The 18,153-nt window shown below is 43.6% G+C and overlaps 1 protein-coding gene across 8 annotated transcripts in view, besides 3 other annotated features; it reads left to right on the top strand.

The window, feature by feature from the left end:
* Window positions 1-18,153, top strand: part of PAX3 (paired box 3) — a 99,112-nt gene that overhangs the window by 1,573 nt on the left and 79,386 nt on the right. For 5 of the 8 annotated variants that reach the window (NM_181460.4, NM_181461.4, NM_181459.4 and 2 more), the window contains exons 2-4: window positions 213-448; window positions 1,769-1,898; window positions 3,125-3,259. In NM_181460.4, the coding sequence (NP_852125.1) occupies window positions 213-448; window positions 1,769-1,898; window positions 3,125-3,259 (501 nt within the window). Of the gene's footprint in view, window positions 1-212; window positions 449-1,768; window positions 1,899-3,124; window positions 3,792-18,153 lie in introns of those variants that run through there. The other 3 variants (NM_013942.5, NM_001127366.3, NM_000438.6) reach the window with 3 other exon arrangements.
* Window positions 3,142-3,678: an enhancer, noted in NCBI's record as "H3K4me1 hESC enhancer chr2:223158467-223159003 (GRCh37/hg19 assembly coordinates)". NCBI's record gives its function as "activates a minimal SCP1, AML or CMV promoter by ChIP-STARR-seq in naive H9 embryonic stem cells {active_cell/tissue: H9 hESC(naive)}" and the evidence as "EXISTENCE:reporter gene assay evidence [ECO:0000049][PMID:30033119]".
* Window positions 5,741-6,654: an enhancer, noted in NCBI's record as "NANOG-H3K27ac hESC enhancer chr2:223155491-223156404 (GRCh37/hg19 assembly coordinates)". NCBI's record gives its function as "activates a minimal SCP1, AML or CMV promoter by ChIP-STARR-seq in naive H9 embryonic stem cells {active_cell/tissue: H9 hESC(naive)}" and the evidence as "EXISTENCE:reporter gene assay evidence [ECO:0000049][PMID:30033119]".
* Window positions 6,655-7,568: an enhancer, noted in NCBI's record as "NANOG-H3K27ac hESC enhancer chr2:223154577-223155490 (GRCh37/hg19 assembly coordinates)". NCBI's record gives its function as "activates a minimal SCP1, AML or CMV promoter by ChIP-STARR-seq in naive and primed H9 embryonic stem cells {active_cell/tissue: H9 hESC(naive and primed)}" and the evidence as "EXISTENCE:reporter gene assay evidence [ECO:0000049][PMID:30033119]".

Below are 18,153 nucleotides of genomic sequence, written 5' to 3'. Positions count from 1 at the left end.
ACACAAGATTACATGCGCTATATTGCTGAATAATTTGAACAAATGTGATTGAAAGGAGGTCTGGGTCTGGGAGTCCGATGTCGAGCAGTTTCAGCGTCGGTGCTGTAACATGAGGATAGGACAGAAGACTGCGAAATTACGTGCTGCTGTTCTTTGCTTTTTATTTTCCTCCAGTGACTTTTCCCTTGCTTCTCTTTTTCACCTTCCCACAGTGTCCACTCCCCTCGGCCAGGGCCGCGTCAACCAGCTCGGCGGTGTTTTTATCAACGGCAGGCCGCTGCCCAACCACATCCGCCACAAGATCGTGGAGATGGCCCACCACGGCATCCGGCCCTGCGTCATCTCGCGCCAGCTGCGCGTGTCCCACGGCTGCGTCTCCAAGATCCTGTGCAGGTACCAGGAGACTGGCTCCATACGTCCTGGTGCCATCGGCGGCAGCAAGCCCAAGGTGAGCGGGCGGGCCTTGCCCTCCTGGCTCCCAGACTGTGGTCCCCTGTGTTGGGGAAGACCGGGCGGGGGGTAACGGCTGACATCTGGGGCTCTCCAATGAGTTATTTCTGAGGTTTGTGAAGGTGCGTAAAGGCGCGCGTGTGTGTGTGTACGTGTGCACGCGCCCTGGACACTTCTTGATGAACACTTAGGGAAAGCTCTTGCCTTTTTGCAAAGGAAAAATAACATCTGTTTTTTAAAGCCCATAAGCCTTGCAATCCTCATCAAATTATTTTAATGGATAAACACCTAAAGCAGGCAAGCTCTATGTGCCCACCTGTTGCCGATTTCTTCCCTAAGTGTCTTCCCGGCTCCCACCCATGGCACCGTCCTTTCCAAAACGAATGTAAGGAACTTCTTTAGGTTTTATAATGGTTTGTCTCCCAAACCCCGCCCTCAGTCTCCCCCAGTGCAAATTGTTTTCAATGAGTCAAATACTAGGGTGATCAGTTTTCTTTGTAATAAGCCAATGACTCCATTAAAAAAAAATAAGCAGTTTGGTGCTATCCTTAAATTATTTTTGGTTCTGTTTTTAAAAAGAAAGAGTCACACCAGCTAGGGCTGAGTGGGAGGGAATTACACAAGGTCTGTCTTTTCTTCTAGTTGCCACCGGGCAAAATCAAGAGGGTTATGGTAAACCGAAGACCTCCAAACACCCTCCTCTTCCTTCCCACCTACTGAAACACTTTCACAGCCTTTCTAAGAATCTTTGGAACCTTCTTCTTCTTTTTAAAAAATATATATTGGGGGTAGAGAGAAGAGTCAGTCTCTCTTAATTAATATTTGTTATCGACTCGAAGTTTTAAAAACCCAAATACATACCTTTACATTTCAGTCTTCACTTTAGCATAAATATCCCTTTGGAAAAGCACAAGTTGCAGATTTAACTTGATTTTTCAGCTCCTTTTTCAAACATCGCTTTTTTAGTTTCGTTTTCATGTTGGTTCTGTGTAAGCAGTTGCCTTATTTCCAGGGATGAGAAAGTATAACCCCACCCTACCCCCATCAAGATGTTATAATTCTTCTGAATTTATCCCGGTTGTCTGGGGCTTGTCTGGGGAAGTTAGAGGCTTCCCAGGCTGCTCCGGGATGGGATGGGATGTGTTCTGGTCTGCCCCTTTCTAAAGTGCCTCAGAGAGTTCAGGTCTTTTTGCTCACAAAGGGGGACCGTCCCAGAGGATTCAGCGAGGAGCATCCCGACAGGCCCAGAGGCGGTGGGGCCGCCGCCACCTGGCCCAGGGTACCGGGTACCAACGCCTGCCCGCCTGTTCTCTTAAAGCAGGTGACAACGCCTGACGTGGAGAAGAAAATTGAGGAATACAAAAGAGAGAACCCGGGCATGTTCAGCTGGGAAATCCGAGACAAATTACTCAAGGACGCGGTCTGTGATCGAAACACCGTGCCGTCAGGTACTAGGCCCATTAACCTCTCCCCGAGGCGCGACAGTCAGTCGCTATTACCCCGGCACGTCGACCCAGACGTAATCACCCCAATTATCGATCTCAGCTATTGGGAGGTGGCCTCTCCCGAGGCCCTGCAATATTTGCCAACCCGGTGTTCTTGGCACTTTATGGAGGGAGGGGTGAGCTGCTTGTCCTGGGGACGGAGGGTGGCGAGACCACCGCTGAGGACGCCCCAAAGAAGATTTCTGTCGAGGAGGCAGGGCAGGAAACGTGAGGCGGAGGCAGAGCGTTTATTAATATTGATGTTCCCTTTTAAAGAGAAACAAATGTTTTGGTAACCCCAACCGAAGGGAGATGGGGCCCGCGCCGGGAGGGACTTTGCCGTGTGCGCAAAGCCGTGGAGGCTTCCACAACGGCCCCGATTTCCTCCGAGAGTCTCAGGGACGGTCCGGAGCCCCCCGCCACGGCAGCCTGGGGGAGGCGGAGGGAGAAGAGGGGCAAGCACGGGGCCAGCGAGAGGGCGCACGGGAGGGTTTGTTTTTAATTAAAAGGAAACTCCCTTTTTCCCTCTGTGAGAAACATATTTCAGAGCATGGATTTGTTTACCAGACTGGAATCTGGAAAAAATAAGTGGGAGAGAGTGCATTTTCTTTTGATTTTTACAATAGGAAACGATTCTGCAGTTGAAATTTAAACCCTTTATAGCCTTAAAAAAAAAAAAAAAAGGGAAGAAAGGAAAAAAAAGAAACTTGATTTACGGGGGGGTGGGGGGGGGCGCGGACAAGTCGGCTTTGGTTCTTCCTCCCTTAAGGCGAACCGCAGGATCCATGCATTCAGGTGGGGAGGAAGGAGGGTACCCGGTGGGCTGGTGGGAGAATTCTCTTAGATTGCAGACCTAGAGCCCGGTCTTCGGAGTCCAGGAAGGGAAATGCTTCCTGCCCAGAATCGAGGGACAAAGATGGCATCCGGCCCTAACTTGGAGGCACGGTTTTCCCAGCCTCCGTCTTTCAGTACCGAGATACAGATAATAGGGAGGGGGGTTTGAGTGGCAGGATGAGAGGGCTGGAGAAGGATGAGGATGTCCAGAGATGCAGGAGGAGACACCCGCGAGCAGTGCAGGGCAGCGGCTCTAGGGCCCTGGCTGGTGTTTGGGGGTGGGGGGTCCTTCCCGCACAGCCCTGCTTGTCTCAACCATGTGCGCTCCCTTGCTTCCTTCCTCCTCCCGCCCCCAGTGAGTTCCATCAGCCGCATCCTGAGAAGTAAATTCGGGAAAGGTGAAGAGGAGGAGGCCGACTTGGAGAGGAAGGAGGCAGAGGAAAGCGAGAAGAAGGCCAAACACAGCATCGACGGCATCCTGAGCGAGCGAGGTAAGCGGTGGCGCCTTGGGCGGCGCACTTGCTGGGTGACTTGGAGGGCATCGGCTAGCTGACATTGGTGATCTGACGGCAGCCAAGCCCAGCTCGGATCAAGGTCCCTTCATGCGCGGTGTCTCTGCGCCTGAGTAACGACATGGAACTGAAAGACCAGAGGGACACTAGGAATCAAAACAAACATTTCTATTCTGCTTAGTTTTTCTGTTTTGTAAATCTTTCTTTCTTAACCACTTTCAGCCCCTGGGATTCTAGAACTGTGAATTGTGCTCTGTTGTAGGGGGCAGGGGAAGCTCTCACTCTGTTGCCATTAAATGTATGAGACTGGGCATCTCTGAGCAATTGTAGGGCCGGGGATAGAGGGTACTTGAATCTTCAGAAGTTGAAGTAGCTTTTATGCCCTCAGGAAAGGCCCTGGTCTCCGGAGTTTCCTCGCATTAAAGGAGAGAGAGAGAGAGTACTCTTTTGGGCAACGGCCCTCCAAAATTGCCCCCACATTGGCTGCCTTATAAATATGTCTGTGTGTTGACTGGTTTGATTTGTTTGAAGTTGATTTTCAAATGTGAGGGGGTTTAACCTGTGTGTGCCTGGGAATTGAAAGGAACCCAAGCTCTGGGTTACAAATTGAAGGGATCTGGGTTCTTAGAGTGCTGGCACCCTCTGTCTTCTAGGGGTACAGATCCCCATTCCTTTTCGGCTGTGCACTGTCGGCACTAAGAAAAAAAATCTCCCCCATGGGAGACAGAAGTGCAGCTTGCTTCCCCTTCACCTGCCGCAAGCCATCCTCAAACTTTAAGGGTACAAACGCAAAAAGAAAGAAAGAAAGGAAAAGAAATGCTGAACCAGGAAAGGATCATTGCAGCAGGAGACGGCAGGGGGGAGGGGAGGATTGTGTCTCAGTGGCTTTGGCCTTGGGGGTGGTTGCCCCTCTTCAAATGCACAAATGGTCAAGAGTGGCCAGGGGTCCCACTCATGCCTGAAGTTTCCTCACCTGGGACTTGGAGTTCATTGGGCAAAGTTAGTTTTGGAGTTGCCAGAGGGACAGGCGGCTTTCCAGGTGGGCTCACAGCCGTTGCCGACTGTGACTAGCTGGGTCCGAGCCCTTACCAGAGTGGCATCCAAGTGGGACTTCTTTTATCTTCATTGCCCAACTCTGTGGCAGCCAGTGGCTCTCCTGAGCAGCTGCTTTACAAAGCAATGCAAAATCTGCACACAACCTGGAAGGAACATTTAGATTTGGAAGTTACAGATCCAAATGGCTGATTTGAGGGAAAAACAAGTGTAGATACTCTGATGCACACAAGAAATCAAAGACATGTCAAACCACAGCAGGTTGGGCAGGGAGATGCTTCCTTTGCTTTATGACAGAGGCCTCCTATGGACTCAGCCTAAATCCTCTTTTTGGAGAGGTGCATTTTTCTGCCTTGGTCTCTGAGAAGACACCTTGGCTTTTATCCCAGGCCTAGCTGCAGAATAGAGGTGCTGAGAAGGGAGGAAGGCAGGGAGTCAGACAACCCCAAACCAAATGTGCTCCTGTGGGCAGTGGGGAGAAGAGCCCAGAGCAGTCACAGAGGCTGGGGACTCACGGCTTTGCTACTTGTTGCTGGAGGCTCCGGCGCTGGCAGACTGGCTGCTCTCTCGCAGTACAGGCGACTGAGGCCCAGGAGACAAAACGTCCCAAATGAGCTGGTCAAACATTTGTACAACTTTTCCAGCTTTTACAAAGAAGTCCTTCTCTACACAATCTACACTTGGAGATGAACTTGGGAGACAAAGCCTGGAGAGTCCATTGAAACTCACACTTTAGCTCAGCCCAGACAAAGCTCCAGCTCGGAGCAGCTTGATGTGAACAAAGGAAGGCAACCTTTTTATAATTCAAGGAGAAAAGAAGAGAAAACAGCACCACAAAAGGCTGAGAATAGACATTATGGGCTTGCAATGAGGGATGAATTATTCAATGAGCCCCAATAGCTGCTGCGCCGGGAAGTTTTATGGACTCTTCAGCGTGGAAAAAGTGGCCATTTCACCTACAAAATGTTTCTAGTCTTTTGGGCTGTCTAGCTGGGCCGGCTGCTATTCAAGGGCAATTGCTACATTTTTAAAATCAGAGTATTCTCCCCAGTGGGGGCTGTGCTGTTGGAAACACACACACACACACACACACACACACACACACACACACACACACACACACCTTGGAGGCTGAAGCCTGATTTAATTTGGGGTTGTCAAGGAAGATGCAGTGTCTGTCTCTTCAGCATCTCTAGCTCCTTTTTAGATGAGCCTCGGAGGACAAGAGGGGCCCAGAGAAAGGACAGAGTGAGGTGCAGTTTGAAGTCTAGAAACTTCAAAAACTCCTTTCTGTTGTTCGGGCATCAAAAATCCCAGGCTGCCCGCTTGTAAAATAGAATGAATGTTGATAAAGCGTTCTTAGCGCCCTGGCAGAGGGGGAGAAGAAAGCTGAGGGAGGAGGAACTTTGGGGTCCCCTGACCAGTGTGGTGTATTCTTGCCCTTTTCCAGTTAGTGGGTCTGGTGGGTGCTGCTGAGCCTGGCTTTTCAGGGGAATCTTTGGCCTGAGGTCTGCTTGGCAGACACTAGGACAAAAGGGTTGAGCCACTTTGAATGAGGTCAGAATCACCTCATTCTTCTCTCCAGTGGCTTTCTCCCAGATGGTCCTCTTAACTTTCCCAACTTTCCCTTTTCCCTCGCTCAATTCAAGAGCTGAGCCGCTAGCGGTGCTGGTGCGCTCAGGCCCGCGCTCCCTAACGGGCGCGCGCTAAGCATGATGCACCCTTGCTGGATACATCCCTCCAGCTCCATAGCCCAGGAGAAAGGAGAGGGCTGGGCGGTTCACTAACACGAACCCCGCCCGCTATCCCCAATCCCCCTAGCCCCTGGCCCGCGCTGAGACTGGAGCAGAGGCAGCCGGGGGAGCCAAGTCCTGGCCGAGGCATCCGGGGCTGTGGGCACCGCCCTGCGCAGCGGCCGCTCAATGGGCGCCTCTGTTCCTCCCCCGGCTCGGCCTAGCGGGCCCGCGGGCGCCGCCACAATGGGCTGGGCCCCCACTCCTGTGCTCTGCGCCAAAGCGCCGCGCCGCTCCGCCCCCTCCCCTACTCTCTGGCCGGCTCGAAGCTTAGCTCGCCGGGCTGCAGCCGACTCAATTGCCTCCTTTATGTCCTTCTCACTTTCATCTAGACACAGCCCGCCTCCCCCCTTCTTCTCCTCTTTTTTTTTTTCCTCCCTTGCCTGAGGCTCACATTAGTGAAATTTCTGCAACCTCCCCCCATTTTTTTCTTATTTTAAAGAAAGCCCTTAACACAAAAGCGGTGACTAATCAATAGAAACTGCCCCTTCATCATCTCCTCCTCCTCCTCCACCCCTCCTTCTCCCCCTCCAGCAGGGTGACGCTTTTCCTGTTTGTGAGTTTTGGGAAACATTTTTGCTTTGTGCAGTAATGGAATTAGAGGACAGTTGAGGACTGTAAATGGACACGCGACTGCAAGACTCTCGCTTAAATATTTAGATGCAAAGTTACAATTACTGACTTGTTGTAGCAGCTTTGAAGTGGCAGCTCCGGAGCGCAGGGGGAGAGAGGCCAGATTGCCAAATTGATGTTTTGATTGGGGACTGGCGATACACTCTCATAAGACTTTCCTCCCTTTTAAAATCACAAGTGAGCGTGGGAGGTTTGCAACAATTTAAAAGATCCCACTAAGAGATCTCAAGCATAGGTCTGTTGGGGGCTTATATTCCTTTCCTATCTGTTCCCTCTTATTTGACGTTTACAAAAAAGAGTGCTTTCTTAAAAAATTGGAGAAAGTAAAAGTGACGAAAGCTTTGCTCAAGTTTCCATTTTATTTGTAAGCTTGTCAGCTTTTGTAAAGTTAACGAGGACGACTTCAGCTTTTTGGGGGGGAGGTAGGAGAAGATTAATCAGTTTAAAACGCAGAAAAGCATTAAAGGTATTTGGAGTATTTTATTTCCAGTGAAATCATGAAAAGAGCACTCTTATCATTAAGGGACTGCTGAAATCAAGGAAAACGAAGGGCCGTTTCTTTCCCGGTTAGTGAGCAGGAAGGGCCATTTTGGTCCAAGGTTGGGAGGAGGGGAAGGCGGGGGACGAACTTTCCCATAGATTAAAATCATTGGGTATAAGATCATAGGTTTATGGCATCGGATCCTTTATTCAAGTGGACAGACCAGCCCACTTTCCAAGTCCATTTGTTAGGATCACGAATTTGACTTCAATGTCGTTTCGATTCTATAGAGAAAACTTCATATTTTCTGAAGTCCTTGCAAAACTCAGCAAAGAAATATCATCCATTTAAAAAATATTGGAAGTATCAGAACTTGAATTCTATTAGAACACCACGCCGTGTTCTATTTATTAATGTCGCGGTAACAATTTTCCTGCTGGAACGATTTGAAAGGAAACACCAGAGTTCAGCTCCTAGCTTTTTCTTTTTCGCTTGTTTGGTTTGGTTGACTGCTGTGTGCTTACCTTCTAGAGCTTTATTGAAAACATGCAGATTTTCTAATTAATGCTTGAAATCGTATGTTTATTTTGGGGTTTGATTTGATTGTTGATAGCACCGGAACCAGGACGTAGGGGCTTCTACTGAGTAATAATTACTGAAGGGTCATTTAAAAGTCCCCAGGGCTGAGCAATAAAACCCACCCGGGCGGTGAGGCGGAACCAGTCAGCGCGCGGCGGTTCAGGCGAGTGGAATATGCAGAAATCGATCACGTGAATAGGAGTGTGGCCGCTAAATCCGAATGGCTTCAGCATCCATGAATGCATATATTTTGAGAACAACAACAAAAAATTCTTCCTATGAGACTAAATGTTTAAGTTGTACATAAGTAGATGGCCAATGAAAATGAAAAGCTGCAACAGTAACAACAAACAAACGGTGAGAAATGAGAGTTTGGCTTGGGCTGGAACAGAAAATGTTTTACGTTCGATTGGATTCTGTATGACAGGTAACTTATCTATGAGGGTAAATAAAGATTAAAGAACCATTTAGAATGTACATATATAACTAACAAGACACTAAAAGGCAATTAAGCAGTCAGTTTAATGTCTTATCTCACTGGCTGCTCTGGGGTTGTTTTACAAGTAGGAATTAAAATCTGAAAAGGAAGTTTTCAGCAGCTCTGGCCAAATATTGATTAAGTAGCTGTTTGTTGATACCATTGTTACACATTAAAAGGCCGGGAGCGCGGCCCCTCAGTGGTCATCTTCCATTGTGAGGGGTTCTTAACCATAGAGATCAAAGCGGGATCATTTCAATTTATCTGTCCTGGAAAATCCTTCTTTTCCTCTGAAATCTCTAAGGAGGAATTGACCAAATTCTCTTTAAGAAATAGGAACTGAAACCAGTTACATGTTGTAGGTTTGTAGAGAAGACTCATGGGGTGTTTTTAATTATCCTATCGTGATTTCTTACTTAGAACTGAGGCTATGATGGTGAATTTATCATCAAATAGATTCTCATTTTGGGGGGGTGTGGCAGAAAGCATGGCAGCTACTATCTGCCTGTTGCTAAGTTTCTAAATACAAAAGTTTCCCTAAAATTGTCTTCCAAGCTGGAATTATTTAATGAAAACATAGCAGATTTTTATGTAAAAGTAGGTAGGGAATAATTAAATACACAGGAATCTGAGTGTTATATTGACTACATCTCTCTACACGTGTTTCCATAATTTCTGTGTTTATAGATGGTTAGATGACTCTCATGTATATTTCCAATCCTCTATAATTTAGGAATAGATATGTGTTTATGTGTATGTATGTGCATTGTTAGAGTTTATTTATTACACTAAGAATTATGCTGGCACTAAACTATATTTAGTTGCACAAAATGAAGATATGTTTGTCCTATGGATTGCACTTTCTAAAGTCATCAGAAACTGAGGTAACAGCACAGCCTCCCAGTTGTTGAATGCCAGGAGAAATATTTCCTTGAATCATTTTATGACTCTTTTAAACTGTTGATTTTGAGATGAACTATCCGACTTTTGTTTGTTTGTTTAAGAACACAATATATTTGCATAGGTTTTTCTTTTATTATGAAAGCAAAAATCCTGCAAACGAATCTTTTGGAAATACTATCTCTGTGCTTAATTTGCAAATTCCAACAAATAGCACTAACTGAGGTTGTAAAATTCATGCCAGATTTAGGCTTTGGATATGTAACTGTGCATCATGGATCTGCCTGTGTGTGGGGTTTTCGAATCTCTTTCTTTGTGCTCATTTCAGTACTAAAAAGTTGTGCATGAGGCTTTATTGTTTTATTTTTTACTCTTGTTCACTCTTGAGCAAGATGAATCTTGACATACAGAGCAGAATTTTGGTGGGTATTATCTAATATTTTCTATTATAATCCTCCTATTAATTAATAATCCATCTGTGCTCAAATGCTCTCTGATGTAAAATATTTACTACCAAACATTGCAGTGTAGAACAACTGCCTGAAATAGATTAAGCTAGAAGTTACAGTTAGCTCAGATTTGTTATGGTTCCCATGTCCTGGGTCTAGATATAGCATTAGATAGTTCTTTGTCATATATTTCAAATGTATATTTTGTATACATACAGAGTTCAAGTAACTTTTCTTCCTTGGATATTAGGCCGTGTATTCACACACTGCCCCAGGGACAGCATCTTCCAGCTCCAAGTTGGGCCTGATCTTAGTACCAACTCAAAATTGCTGACCCAAGAACCGGCTGCCTTTAGTTGGGGAATTGTGAAAAGGAATTTCAGACATTTCTGAAGAAAATTCAGGTATTGTCATCTTTCTGGAAGATAAACACCAAAGCAGCAATAGGTATTATAATTCTATAATAGGTGAATAAAAGGTGTTATAAATTCTTACCTTCAATACCTATTTTCTTTCTTTCCTTCCTAATAAAGGTTATTGAAAAGACTAATCCCCTAATGGCCATCCTCTGCCCTGTTGGGAAAGATAGTTTTGTCCCATTCACACCAGTCTTCGGTAGAGCAAGACACAACTCAGCTTTTAGCTCTACCCTACAGTGTTGGGAAATACTGAGCTCCAATAGCATTGTGAGCTTTTACTGGAAGCAGAACACCTCTCCTTTAGGAAGGCTTTCTTCAAATTATCTAAGCTGAGATCATGCTCCAAAATGAAGAGAATATGTATATTTCCAAGTTTTAGTTGGAATATGCACAGTTATCAAAATGCCTGTTTAACATCATAAAACATCAATTCACGAGAGAAGAATTAGAAAGTTCACCATTGTCAAAGGGAGATATGAAAATCATGAAATATAGTTATTGAAGACTGTTGAGGAATAATAGGTGTTATAAATTCTTATCTTCTTCTTTTCCTTCTTTCCTTCCTGACAAATCTTTTTAAAAACCACCAACAGGTAATTTCTGTTGTTGAAGTGGCCATGTGTCTTTGAAAATGAAATTGTATTAAATAAGGGCAACAGTGTTAAGAATTTGATTTGATGCACATTTCTTCTAGGGGAAAGGAAAATCTTGAGAAAGGATTTTGCCTTGCACGTTGCATACAGCAAAGTTCGCACCATTTTACATTTTGCTGCAGGATTTTTTAAGTGAAACAAAACAAAACAAAACACCTCCACTTTGTGGTAAAGTAAGTTGATTGAAGTAGTCTGAGTTTTTATGTCCACCTCTTACTGAGGTGATTGATAAATTACCTTCCCTAGCAAAACAGATTAGAACTCAAGATAGGCAACTATTAAACTGGCTGTGTGTTTGGCTCCTTAAACTCATTCAGTAATTCCTTGACTATACTTTCTTATGTACTTTTATTTGGCCATATTTACTGTATCTGTAATAGTATGTGAATATCAACTGAATTCTGGAAGCCAATTCCCCACGCATCTTGGACCTAATCCAACATATTCTGTTTAAAAATAGCTGATCAAGCCGCCTGGCGCGGTGGCTCACGCCTGTAATCCCAGCACTTTGGGAGGCCGAGGGAGGTGGATCACCTGAGGTTAGGAGTTTGAGACCAGCCTGGCCAACATGATGAAACCTTGTCTCTACTAAAAATATAAAAATTAGCTGGGTGTGATGGCACACGCCTGTAACCCCAGCTACTTGGGGGACTGAGGCAGGAGAATTGCTCAAACCTGGGAGACGGAGGTTGCAGTGAGCCGAGATCGTGCTACTGCACTTCAGCCTGGATGACAGAGCGAGACTCCGTTTCAGGAAAAAAAAATAGCTGATCAAAATGCTTTGTGACAGGGATGGGAGACTTTTCTTGGTTGACCAACATAGAATTGAGGGAGAGGAAATACCACTGATTTTCAGCATTTAAAAATTTACAGGATCATATGGATAATTTAAGTAGTATAGTTTTATCAAAACTTAAATGTAGATTTTCAAAATTTTTATAATTGAAAAGTAGGCATATTTATGGAAACAACTGTAGAATTAAATGTATTTGGTCTTGTGTTAATGGTTGGAAATAATAAGTAAGTTAGGGTAGAATATTAAGAAAGAAAAGTTAATTGCTATGAAATTTGTATTGCAACATGGAATTATTGTGTACTCTCATAGTCAATGCTGATACGGTCACATACACATTTGCATTTTAAATAGAAAGTCTACATTTTTATTTTGTGATTTTTACAGGCACACAGATATGCTAAATGTGCATATATACAGAAAATGAAAATGACTTTTAAACATATCCCTCTTCGCCCCCTACCCTTTTAGTGGCAAACTCTAGTGTCGGCATAACTTACCCAGTTCACAGGCTCTTGGTTCTTACCCAGTTCATTGGCCCTTGCCTTTGAGTACTAACTTCCTAGTTTCCTTCATACTACCTCTTTCTTTCAAAAGCATTTTATTTTTAAACGATTATAGATTCATAGAATCTGTCTTCAAACATATATTTAAATTCTTCCAATATTCAAATGTAATGTGATGATTAAGAAAATCTTGGCCAAAGCATGTGTGCATGTGTGTGTCTCAATCAACACGGTTGAGCTTAACCTGAACTAAAGAAAATTAATTGGTCCAATTCATTTTATTATAAGAAAAGCAATAGGTTTCTTCTTTATGAATCCCCACTTGGCCAGTTTCCCAATTGAGGTTCACTAAAGCAATTGAATGCTTTTTGTCTTGTTTGATTTAAACACACTCCAAAGTACCTTTTCAGATCTTTCTTGCCTTATAAAAAACACAGTACCCAAGGTGAAAGTGGTCTGTTCTTGCATCACCAATTTTGCTCTAAAATTGAGACCAAGCACATTTTAGTTGTGACCTTTTGAACTTCAGTTTTGACATCTCTAAGATAGGGAACTGCATACCAGCTTTCCAGGATTCTGTGAGAATGAAATGAGAAGGTGCATATTATGTGCAAATTACACCTAGCAGCAAAACTCAAAAGTCTTGGTCGGGGGGGAAATAATCTCTGAACACTCAGAAAGTGACCAGCCTACAAACTAGCAGATGGGCTCTGCCCAAGGGCAGATAAAGCCTAATTCAGGGCTTAGAAGCAACAATGAAGACCAAACACACACACACACACACACACACACACACGCACACAGACACACACCCCACACCACTAAGTCTGCTTTCACCAAGTCAAAAAATTGAGTTTATGAGCAACTATTAAATGTAAAAAACTTCGATTTAATGGGTATAAAAAATAAAATTCTAAAACCATTAGCTGAGATGTCAAAACATGCTTCTTAATTACTTTTCCTCCCAGCTTAAAAGGTTACTTTTCTCTTTTAGATTAACTTGGCTTTTTTTGAAACTCCAACTCAAACTTTTCTTTGTATTTGGCACAAGTTTTTTCAGCAGATCAGGAATTGACAAATACGTTGCTTTTTTGAAAACGAGTCTCATACATCCATTCTTATTCCTAAAATGCTGTTATAGTCTTTCATTTTGGGGAATTGTTTTTGCACAGTTTCTCATTATATCCCCTCTTCAGCCTGCTTCATTGTTCTTAAAGGTCTTTATAGCTCTGCACGTGAGGTTGTGTGCATTCTTTTTTCTTTGTGCATGATTCTTCTTAATTCCCTCTCCTTTAAAACTGGAGCTAAGAAGTTTTAAGGACACCTTCCAAAGTAGCATTCTTCAAGCTGAAGGATACATTTTAATGACCGTTCTGTTCCATTTGCCTCCATTACTTCCCAAAACGTTGGGGGCTCCTGTGTTATTGGGGTGCAGTGTGAGAGTGAAAAAGAAAATAGCCTGGCTAGTAAGGCTCCTAGGAGCTGGAGAGCTCCTGCCCCCATGTTTCTCCCTCTGGCGCAGCTTGGCAGTGCAGCCACTGGCTGCAAGGAAGGTTGTTTTCTTATCCCCGCATGCACTGGTCTGACCTGTCTCCAAAATAGGTCAGGCTGGGGCACAGCCAGTTTATGCAGCTGTTGCGGCTTAGGCTTCGCAGCAGGCAGCCGAAGCTCCTTGGCCAGCCGGGCCCCCAGTGAACTGATAAAAATTCGCTGGTGAGCCATGGGGCCTTCCTTCTGGACAGTCCTGGCCCCCTGAAGGCTTTTAGATGCAAGAAGACTCCTGGATTATGGGGGCCAACTCTCAGCCACCAAAGGGAAATGTTCTTTTATTCTGAAGATTGCACTCTTGTTGACCCAAACACTCAAGTGAAATATATACTTTGTCAGATTAAAAAAAAATTATCGTATTTATTTTTGACTGGGTAAAACACTCACTTTGCACAAAATTCAGAAGATATAAATGGATGTACGGTGACTAGTTTTCCTCCCACCTCTGTCTGCTAGTGGCCAGTATCTTGACCATTTTTCCAGACACTCTATGCCAACCAAGTAATTACATTTCTCTCTCTTTTTAAAAATATTATCTTCCCCCTTTGGCAGAAATGGTACCCTACCTACAATATAAACTTTTCTGCACCTTGATTTTTTTGTCCACTTTAGAATATATCTCAGGAATTATTCTGCATAATGTCTTGTTTGTATAGCTGCATAGTACTCCATCATACTGGCAAAGGATGACTTATTTAACAACATGTAGATTGTTTTCAATCTGACAGCACCATTTGGCACACGTGTGAGTTTATTTGTAAAATAATTCCTCCCTGGTAAGGACAAAAGGAATGACATTTGTAATTCTGGTAGCTTTGGTGGAATTTAGCTTCTGCATTGAGACCAAATGGTGGGGAAGTTCTTAGAAATCATGGTGCAGGAGTGTGTTTGCCTTTGGGCACTGGCACAAGAAAAATGATACGTTTTCTCCTATCCCTATATCTGAGTAGGAACATAGGTTTCAAAATTACTGCTTAGAGTTGTTCTGCTAACAATGACTACCTTCTGGACATTCCTCCAATATTCTATTGCTTCTTCAAATGGAACAGTCTCTAAATACAAGGAAAACTTTTTTCTTTGACTTATTGGTTCCTTTTTAAAAATTCTACTTTTTCCCTATTTACTATTTATTTAAGTTTGGCACGATCAAAAGTAGTCTCTTTATGTTAAGCATTTTTATTTTTCTTTGTAAGCCAGAAAAATTGTGGGTAGTTTTATAACAACTTAGAGGCAACTTATTATAATTATTTACTTACAAAAGAAAAATTGTCTCCAAGGTCACCAAATTAGGGTTGAACTAGTAAGAGAGTGGTTTATGTATAAGAAAATATGGTCTTGTATTTATTTTTCAGAAGTGCTGCCGGATGCTCTAGGGGTTTCTTGAGTTTGGGAATGGCTGACTTTTAATTTGTAAATTTTTAGAGAGTATATATCCATGCCCATCTCTGCACAAAAGACTTTTTATGTTTTTTTCAAAAACCTTGCTTCCACCAAATCATTTCAGTCTATTTTCCCTTAAATCTGATGCTATGGAATTCAGTTGTTGTCCTGCTGAATACCTGGTCTACCTAAGCTAGACGTTTCAGCCTGTGAAATGAGCCAGAAAGGACTCTGCTCCAAGTATACGAGAAATACAACCCCCTCAAAACCCTCCCGAGAAAACTGGAGCTATGATTGCCAGCGAATATTATAGAGCAAATCTTTCAAGTCATTTCTTCTTAGGAATGGGCCTTTCAGAAATAGGAGAACAAGTTAGGGGCGAAGGATTTATTTCTGGAAATCAAAATCTTGATTTGGTTTTAAAAAAATAAGAAAAAACCAAAAACACGTCTTCTTTCTTGACTGTTCTTGCTGCCAGGCCCGGAATGTGCAGGATGTAGTGTGCCAGTAAGGCAGGAGGATGCATTTTCTTAATTCTAGAACTTTCGTTTGTGCTTAGATGGAAGATGGCTAGCAAGGTGCCCTCAATTCCCTTCTTGCCTTCTCTCTGACTTGCCTATGGAAATCTAAAGGGGTCAGTCAGGGGATGGAAACAGGCCTGCATTAAGAGTGTCTACAAAGAGCTAAGAAAAATCAAAAGCAGCTTTTCAAAAATTCCCTGCTCTGCATAATTTGGGTTGAATCAGGCTCATAGTTTGTGGCATCTGATTACTACCTGTAAAAGTATGCAGCTCTCCACACAGGAAGGAAAGTCTACAGAGGATTAATATCAACATGGAAAATTTTCATTTGCTCCTCAAGTTGCTGTGATGTTCTCAACAAACATTTAGACCATATAAAATAATTTGCTTCTAGGCCCATAGTGGCCAAGCTTTAGGTTACTGACAGATCATCAGACTGCTTTTATCTATACAGGTGAAGGGAAGTGGCAGGCAGAGCCATCCTCCAGGGAACTTAAACCTCCAGGCTTAATGTCAGAGAGCAGGTGTTTTCTGGGGAGAGCAGCCCCTTTGCTTCTGATTTATAAACGTGTAAGTTTTTAAAAATAGGAAGTGGAACATAAATTCATCTGGGGAAAATGTTTTAATTTTCCGTTTCGTGATTCCCAAGTAGATGGGATCTGGAATTGTTAGTTACATTTTGGGAAGTTCTGGGTCATCTAAAACACCCTCTGAGACCATTTCTAAAGAAAGCTGAAAGTCAATTTCAAGTTGAGCAAATAAATGGTGGTTTCCTCATGGTGCCCCCGGTGGACTAGCAGTATGCCAGAGCAGAATATCATTTGGGAATTGATCCAGCGTGGAAACTTTCCAGGTGGTAGATGTGCTTGGCTTTTATGCAGACAGGGCACATCTGGGGCACGTGTGTACATGACACACATTTATCAGAGGGCAACAGAAAGGCAACTTTTACAGTTTCTTACTAGAAGCCAGTGTCTGTTTGTGGTCACTGGCCCTGCCAAGCTCTAAATACTTGCTGAATTTTTGTCTGAGAGCAGAAGTCGAATGGAAGACTGGGGATTTAGCATCATGTCAGAAACTACAAAGAGCCAGGCTTAAGAGTGCAGGGGTTAGAGGAATGCCTGGGTACTGGGCAAGTCCCCATTATACAGGCAATTCGCTCCAAGTAGGAGGCCAGGATGGGAACTCAAGGCCTGTTCTACTTTGGATTCAGTTTCTGGGCTTCTCAGTAAACTTTTAGGGCCTTGGCTCCTCTGGGTCTTCTCCTTGTCTATGGAAAGTATCAGCTGGTCTTTCTTGGGGCATTCCTGAGCATAAAACCAATGGATAAGTGGGATGACCATCTCATCTTGCTTTTGTAAGAGGCTCAATGAGTTGTCAGTAAAAAGTAGGGAAATACAACTCTTGTGGAGGTCAAAGCAAGTACTCACTCATTTCCCGGCATACCTTTGTCTTATATTATTTGTCCTTTTTAGGAAAATTGAAACTAAACCATTGCACAGGACTCTTTCTTTCTTCCTTCCTTCCTTCCTTTCTTTCTTTCTTTTTTCTTTCTTTCTTTCTTTTTCCTTCCTTCCTTCCTTCCCCTTTATTTCTCTCTTTCTTTCTTTTTCTTTCCTTCCTCCCTCCCCTCCCCTCCCCCTCCTCCCTCCTTCCCTCCCTCTCTCTCTCTCTTTCTCTCCTTCTTTCTTTCTTTCCTTTTCTTTCTCTTTCTTTCTTTCTCCCTCTCTCTCTTTCTTTCTTTCTTCCTGACAGAGTTTCACTCTTGTTGCCCAGGCTGCAGTGCAACAGCACAATCTCAGCTCATTGCAACCTCCACCTCCCACGTTCAAGCAATTCTCCTGTCTCAGCCTCCTGAGTAGCTGGGATTACAGGCGCGCACCACCTCGTCTGGCTAATTTTTGTATTTTTAGTAGAGATGGGGTTTTACCATGTTGGCCAGGCTGGGCTCAAACTCCTGACATCAGGTGATCCACCCACCTCAGCCTCCCAAAATGCTGGGATTACAGGTGTGAGCCACCATGTCTGGCCTTGGACTCTATTTCTAATGGGGTGCCAGTATATACCTTGGTCAGATAAGGAGACCAACCATTTCTTTATTATAAAATACAAATGACACAGAGAGCCAATTTTTTTTCTGAATCTTTGTTGGCTAACTTTCATAATTTTATTGAATTACTATAATTTAATGTTACTAGTTTAAACTAACATTTTTTCCCCTGAAATGTATCTTTTCTATTTTTTTGTAACATGAAAACCCAAGTTAAATTCATTAAGTAAGACAATGACTATCTTTCACATTGAAATTTCTGGTGCTTGGAAAATTCTTATGGAAAAACTTCAGGAAAAATAAAAAGAACTGTCACTCAGACTACAATTTATAGGAAAAGATGTTACCAGAACAAGTGTAGGCTTTTCACAGGCATACTTGAAAATTCTCCTACCACCTAACCCTCCTCTACCAAACCCTTTGAAAATGTTTTTCCCCACTTTCCTTCCATAAAGGGCCCTGTGGGCTGACCTTAGGTGAAAAGAGTGAAGTCAGTCTTGGGTGCTGTTCCCTCTCCTTTCCTGAATCCCTGTCCCTGCCATTTGCCTTGTACATTCCTACTACTATTACTACTACACCACACACACACACACACACACACACACGCACAGGCTTGCACTCAGCTCTACCTCATTCA

This window comes from Homo sapiens, chromosome 2 (genome assembly GCF_000001405.40).
Source record: "Homo sapiens chromosome 2, GRCh38.p14 Primary Assembly".
NCBI classification, from domain to species: domain Eukaryota; kingdom Metazoa; phylum Chordata; class Mammalia; order Primates; family Hominidae; genus Homo; species Homo sapiens.
This window is presented reverse-complemented; position numbering and strand designations above follow the sequence as displayed.